The 7441-nt window shown below is 38.9% G+C and overlaps 2 annotated features.

Annotated features, from left to right (window-relative positions):
- Positions 6099–6599: an enhancer, noted in NCBI's record as "H3K4me1 hESC enhancer chr12:61814597-61815097 (GRCh37/hg19 assembly coordinates)". NCBI's record gives its function as "activates a minimal SCP1, AML or CMV promoter by ChIP-STARR-seq in primed H9 embryonic stem cells {active_cell/tissue: H9 hESC(primed)}" and the evidence as "EXISTENCE:reporter gene assay evidence [ECO:0000049][PMID:30033119]".
- Positions 6600–7100: an enhancer, noted in NCBI's record as "H3K4me1 hESC enhancer chr12:61814096-61814596 (GRCh37/hg19 assembly coordinates)". NCBI's record gives its function as "activates a minimal SCP1, AML or CMV promoter by ChIP-STARR-seq in primed H9 embryonic stem cells {active_cell/tissue: H9 hESC(primed)}" and the evidence as "EXISTENCE:reporter gene assay evidence [ECO:0000049][PMID:30033119]".

The raw sequence follows: 7441 nt of genomic DNA, 5'->3' as shown, positions 1-7441 counted from the left end.
AAAATAGTCTGCCTGGTGAAATGAAAAATTAGTTCCAAACATATATGGCAGTACATAGACAAAATAATTAGATTTATTTTTCCATTTTGTTTTGTTTAGTTTTTATCCTTTCACTGCTGTGTTTCAGTTTCAAATCTATCTAAGTTGGCTGAGTAAAATGTGGTGATAATAGTAGGCTACCTCCACACACAAATAAAGCTGCAGAGAGGAAGCTTGTCCACATCATAGCACTCGGAAAATCTCTGTACCTTCGTTGTCTCATCTTCCTTTTCAAACCCACGTGCTGATATTATGGGTTACTTTTTTACTATCTTATTTTAGCATGTTAATCCTGGTTTTGTCTTCTCAGCCCATCCTCAACTTGAAATTTGTTTTCAACTATTTGATTGCTTTTTGCTCACTAGGTCATCTCAGAAACATTCTTGCACACTCTACAACCTACAGTCTAGACCTGATGTTACCCCCATATCTGGCACTTGATATTAGAGTTACACTTGTAAAATAAGATGCCATTGGTCAAGAGTTTATTTCCTGCAATACTTAAAATTAAGGATCTTGGCTGGGCACGGTGGCTCACGCCTGTAATCCCAGCACTTTGGGAGGCTGAGGCAGGTGGCTGACCTGAGGTCAGGAGTTTGAAATCAGCCTGGCCAACATGGCAAAAACCTGTCTCTACTGAAAATACAAAATTTAGCTGGGCATGATGGCAGGTGCCTGTAATCCCAGCTACTTGGGAAGCTGAGGCAGGAGAATAACTTGAACCCGGGAGGCAGAGGTTGCAGTGAACCAAGATCGCGCCATTGCACTCCAGCCTGGGCAACAGGAGTAAAACTCCATCTCGGGAAAAAAAAAAAAAAAAAGGGATAAGGATCCTAAACCATAGTAATCCAACAAGTCTCAGGGTACTTGGATAAATTATTAAATTATCCAACCGTGAGTCTTTCTGAACAAGCCCCAAAGCATGTTTTAAATGCTTCGGTCATGTACACATTATGTTTTCCTCACCCCGAACACATACTCGCAGACACACACTCAGATACACACATTCACATACACACTCACAGACATGAGCTGCTAATGTAGAATCATAAGTCTACCCTGCTCTTTGCTTAGGAGAACTGATTTTTGAAGCCAGGAAAGTGGCCATAGTTTTTGGCTTGTGAGGATATTGAAGAGATGCCTCAGCAAAAGGCAAAGAATAGGGGTGAATTGTTCTTCTCCATCAGTGGTTCCCATTCATTGCCAGGCTTTAAGATCATCTTGGGAGCTTTGAAAATTAATATCTTGGCCCAACTCCAGACCAATTATTTTAGATTTTCTGGTGGTAGGCCTGGATATTAGCAGTGTTTTACTTAAAAGCTTTCCAGGTAGTTCTGATTTGCAGCCAGAGGTGAGGGCAACTCTCAATTCTTCTATAATTTTAACTCCATTGCCTCCAATTTTAACCTGAGCTAGACTTGCAGTGGCAGCAACCATACTAGACTTTCCTTGCTGACTGCCGTTTAGCTAATTTTGCCACTGTATTCTTGCTTGCTAACAATTGGTCAGCTAATATTTATTGAGATATGCTCTTTCAATAAATATTTCTTGAGACTGTTTTGGGCTCCGAAAATCAAGAGGAGATTGAAACACAGTCCCTGCCTTGTTGAGTAGCAGGGGAAAGAAGACAATTAAAAACAACAACAGGTATATATATCTTATGTCAGTCAAGTGTTAATAAAACGTGCTATAATGAAAAATCAAGCAAGGTAAAGCATTAGAGAGTGCTGGAGAGCAGAGATTGTTAAACTATGTTAGATATAGTGTCTTGGAAGGTGTCTTTTTAAGATGATATTCCACAGGAATATCAGAAAAGTGACTGAATCATGTTGAGATTTTGGGAAACATGATTTTAGGCAAAGAGAAATAACAAATTTAAAGGATCTGAGGACACAAGCTACCTTTCAGCAGTGCTCAGTGAAAAAAATGTTTAAGTGGTATGTTTGATAAATATGTAGGTGGTCTTTGTAGAAAATCTTGCAAATTGCATTTTCCTTTTTAAAAATCATCTTTGTGGAGATATAGTTAGCATTAATAAAATGAACACATGTGCATAGTTTGAAGTTTGGAAAATGTATATACCCATTTAATTATTTCCAAAATCAAGATACAGAAAGTTCCCTTGGGTTCCTTTGCCCTCACACTCGCCACTCTATAGACTACCAATGATCTAAGTTCTATACTATAGATTCGTTTTGTCTACTTTAGAGCTTCATTGAAAGGGAATCATACTGTTATGGAATGAATTGTATCCCCCTCCACCAAATTCATATTTTGAAGCCCTTATCCCTAGTGTGACCGTATGCAGTGAAATTTGGTAAATGTAAATGTACCTTGATAAATAATTGACAAGCTTCTTTGCAAAATAGTTGTATTAAATTACATTTCCACCAGCAGGGCATGAGTATTCCAGTTGCTTCCCATCTTCATCCATAATTGGTATTGTCAGCTTTTCTGATTTTAGCCACTGTAATGAGTTGGAAGTAGTTTATCATTGTGAACATTTCTAGACTTCCAGAATGCTTTCGGGCCTTAAATCTAGATTGGTGGCAGAAAAAGTTATTCATTAGTGCCACAGTGCTATGTTGGCCTCATTTATACTATCTTCTTATTGCTTTAAGAATCAAATTATTTCTGATTGTAATTGTTAGAACAGTAGAGTGTATTCATAATGATAATTAGTAATAGTCAAAGCATTTTTGAGTGTTCAAGAACAGGTGAAGTCACATTTAGGCTCTGCTACTTACTGGTTGTTAAGTTGTAAGCAAGTCACTTAATGTTTCTGGGATTCATTTTTCCTGATCTGCAAAATAAATTTAATAAATAGCTACCTTGAAGATTTGTTGTTAGAATTACTAAAAATATATATGGGTCATACTTACTGAACAGTTTTTATGTGTCAGGCATTTAAAATACATTATTGTGCAAAACATTTAAAATATATTATTGTATTCTGTTCTCTAAACAACTCTTTGGAGTATGGTGCATGATTATTTTTGTTTTCAGATGGTGTATTAGGGTTCTCCAGAGAAAAAGAACCAATAGAGCATGTGTGTGTATGTATTGTGTATGTGTGTGTGTATATGTGTGTGTGTGTGTGTGTGTGTGTGTGTGTGTGAGAGAGAGAGAGAGGGATTTTAAGGAATTGGCTCATGTCACTTGGTAGGCTGGTGAGTCTGAAATGTTCAGGGCAGGCTAGTAGGCTGGAAACCCAGGAAAGAGTTGCAGTCTCTGATGCAATGGTAGTCTTCTTTCTCAGGAGACCTCATTCTTGTTCTCTTAGGCTGATAAATTATTGGCTGATAAATGATTGGATGAGGCCCACCCACATTATGGAAGGTAATCTGTTTTACCGGAAGTCGACTGGTTTAAATGTTAATCACAACTTAAAAAATACCTCCACAGAAACATGCAGACTGGTATTTGACCAAACATCTGGTTACCATAATCAAAGTGACACATAAAATTAACTATCATAGATGGTAAAACTGATTCACCAGAAAGTAGTATGATAAAAGTCGTTTAGGGTGTAAGTGGTAGAAGAGGTTAGAGTTGAAAACAAACAACCCGATTCTATAACTTGGGTACTTAACCATTACATTGATTATTTTAACATCTGGCACCATCATTTTACTTCGGTAGGAAACTGCCTTTGTTGAGAAAAGTGAGGTCTAGAGAGCCTGAGTGAAGCCTGAGAAACAAAATCTACAAAAAAAAAAAAATCTAAATCATCATGCAAAATAATTAGGAGATAATTATTTTTATTCTTTCACAGAGGTAGAAGGGAAAGAATCAGATGAGAAAAGGAAAGACTGGGAGCATGGAGTGGTTAAATGAGAACCTTTTTTGGACTACATGGGAAAAGGTCAACAAAATTCCACTGAACAAGATGGCTGAAAGGCATGTGTAAGCAATGATGCCTACTGTCCCAGCTGAATGTAATTGTATTGCACACACCCACATGCACATATCCACACTTAATTTGTGCCATGTAGCACACCGAGGGCTAGCTAAGATTCAGAGAAAAGTGTCTTTATTAATAATAGATTACATGACTTTTGTTGCTGGCCAAGATGGAGGACAGTGACCAGATTTACCCTTCCACCTGAAATAAAATTGGGAAAAATGGATGAAACAGCCTTTGTATATTGGCAGTCTCCCTGGGTGGAGACTGAGCTGAGAGCTCAGGAAGGCCAAGGCAGTCAGAATTCACACATAAGAGTACAGTGTTTCAGGTAGAGAGGGAGGGAAAGAGACAAACCATAGTCACCTCACAAATCTTCTAAGGTCTTCCTAGACTCCTCATTCCAGCTCTGATTAGCCTTGTATGTGAGGATATTACACAAGACCAGAGACAGAACCACCTGAAAGGAGAGAGGGAAGAATAGCTGTAGCTCACACAAGGCCAGGAATGGTTTGTGTTAACACCAGCCAGAGTATAAAATGTTGAAATTCAAGGTGAATCATGCAGAGTACTCACAATGGTATTGCCTGTATAGTGGAGTAAAAGTAACCCTAGATCAAAGGCTTTTCTAGTTTAACAAAGGTTAAAAGAAGGACAAGCCTAGAAAGGATGAAACTGTTTCTGTGTAACATAACTCTGTCCTAGGAAACACCTTAAGAATATTTATAGTAATACAAAAATTCCAGATTTAAGACGTGCAAATTCAATCAAATATTACCAGGCATGAAAAGAAGCAGGAAAATAAACCCATAATGAGGAGAAAAAGTCAATCGTTGAAACAGACTCAGAAGTGACACTGATTACAGTATTGATAAATACAGAAATTAGCACAATTTAATATTCCATATAGTCAAGAAGTTGGAGGAAAGATTTACTATATTAAGGAAGATATAACAGAAACCAATATCAAACTTCTAGATGTGAAAACTATAATGTCTGAAATTTAAAAATGCATGAGAAGTGATTAGCAGCAATTAGACTTTGAAGAATAAAAGATTAGTAAAGTTGGAGATACAGCAATGGAAACTATCCAAAATGAAATAAAGATTGAAAAAAAGAGAAAAACTCTATGTTCCAGATACTATTTTATGTACTTTACATATATTATTTAGTATTCACAAATTCTAAGATACTATTATTATCCTAGTTTTACACATGAACGAACTGAAGCACAAAGAAATTCATAAATTCATTAACAAAGTCACACATTAATGCCTGAGCGTGTGTCATACTGCAGTCAGTTGTTCCAGAGGTCTGTAATCTTATATCCTACTAAAGATGGAATCAAAGCAAGGGAAGCATTAATCTTAAAACAGAAATTGTAGCTCTGAACACTGCATTTAAATTCTAAAGCTACTGAGTGATTTATAAACTCAGTGTAAGAGGGTATTGTGGTTTTCGTATGGGTTTTATCTGAACCGTGCTGTGGGTGGGTTCCTAAGTATTATATTCCCATTTACAAATTCTCTTTATACAAGTTTGGAGTCCTAATTCTTTTGTAAACTCATAGCTTTTTTTAAAAAAATTATGATTTTCATTGATTCTTATCTGTATCAGACTTGTTTATCCTTTTCTTTTTAAAACTAAATTATTAAAAATAATAATTACGTAAGAAATAAAATAACAATAACAAAAACAATAGATAACACTTAAATACTCATGTCTCACCACCATTCCATTGAATATCCTTCACTTTGGAAGGCCAAGGCATGTATTGGGCATTATGGATTATTGTCACTATAGCTGTGTACATGCATGAGTTTTTTCAGGGTTTTTGCCTAAGGCAGAATTGCTGGGCATATGTATGTGAATTTTCAACTTTCTGCATAGGCAGTACCAAATTGTTTTTCAAGGTTGTTTTATCTAGTTAGACTTCCCCAGTGCTGTTTGCATTGATGCACAATTCCATAAAACTTGATATTTTTTTACCTTTCAGATTTTCCCCCTTTTGGGTGTGAAATGGTGCCTTATTATTGTTTTTGTTTGCAGATTGTCTCCTCTCACTTTTGTATCTCCAGATCCTAGCAGAGTTATATCAAGATTCCATTGGCAATATTGAGTAATTTATTCATTGAATGGGTAAATAAAGTTCAGGATTTAGTACTGGTTGATTAAAAGAATGATGATGCTGTTAATAGAAATAAAGAAAAAGAGAAATTTGGGAGAAATCTGATGATATTGTTTCTCTGTAGGGCAGGTAACACTTAAAAAAGCTGAAATAGACTGAGTACCTATTGTGTCAATTAAAACACATGATGGCAGAGTCAATACTAAAAATTCATGTATCGGTTTTTTTCAAGATGGCTGAGTAGGAACAGCTGCGATCTACAGCTCCCAGTGTGAGCGACGCAGAAGACGGGTGATTTCTGTATTTCCATCTGAGGTACTGGGTTCATCTCACTAGGGAGTGCCAGACAGTGGGCGCAGCACAGTGGGTGCAGCGCACCGTGCGTGAGCTGAAGCAGGGCGAGGCATTGCCTCACTCGGGAAGCTCAAGGGGTCAGGGAGTTCCCTTTCCTAGTCAAAGAAAGGGGCAACAGACGGCACCTGGAAAATCGGGTCACTCCCACCCTAATACTGCGCTTTTCCAACGGGCTTAAAAAACGGCCCACCAGGAGGTTATATCCCGCACCTGGCTCAGAGGGTCCTATGCCCACGGAGTCTCACTGATTGCTAGCACAGCAGTCTGAGATCAAACTGCAAGGCGGCAGCGAGGCTGGGGGAGGGGCACCCGCCATTGCGCAGGCTTGCTTAGGTAAACAAAGCAGCCCAGAAGCTCCAACTAGGTGGAGCCCACCACACCTCAAGGAGGCCTGCCTGCCTCTGTAGGCTCCACCTCTGGGGGCAGGGCACAGACAAACAAAAAGACAGCAGTAACCTCTGCAGACTTAAATGTCCCTGTCTGACAGCTTCGAAGAGAGCAGTGGTTCTCCCAGCATGCAGCCGGATATCTGAGAACGGGCAGATTGCCTCCTCAAGTGGGTCCCTGACCCTTGACCCCCAAGCAGCCTAACTGGGAGGCACCCCCAAGTAGGGGCAGACTAATACCTCACACGGCTGGGTACTCCTCTGAGACAAAACTTCCAGAGGAACGATCACACAGCAGCATTCGTGGTTCATGAAAATCTGCTGTTCTGAAGCCACCGCTGCTGATACCCAGGCAAACGGTCTGGAGTGGACCTCTAGAAAACTCCAACAGACCTGCAGCTGAGGGTCCTGTCTGTTAGAAGGAAAACTAACAAACAGAAAGGACATCCACACCAAAAACCCATCTGTACGTCACCATCATCAAAGACCAAAAGTAGATAAAACCACAAAGATGGGGAAAAAACAGAGCAGAAAAACTGGAAACTCTAAAAATCAGAGCGCCTCTCCTCCTCCAAAGGAATGCAGTTCCTCACCAGCAATGGAACAAAGCTGGATGGAGAATGACTTTGA

Source organism: Homo sapiens, chromosome 12, assembly GCF_000001405.40.
Source record: "Homo sapiens chromosome 12, GRCh38.p14 Primary Assembly".
NCBI lineage: Eukaryota > Metazoa > Chordata > Mammalia > Primates > Hominidae > Homo > Homo sapiens.
This window is presented reverse-complemented; position numbering and strand designations above follow the sequence as displayed.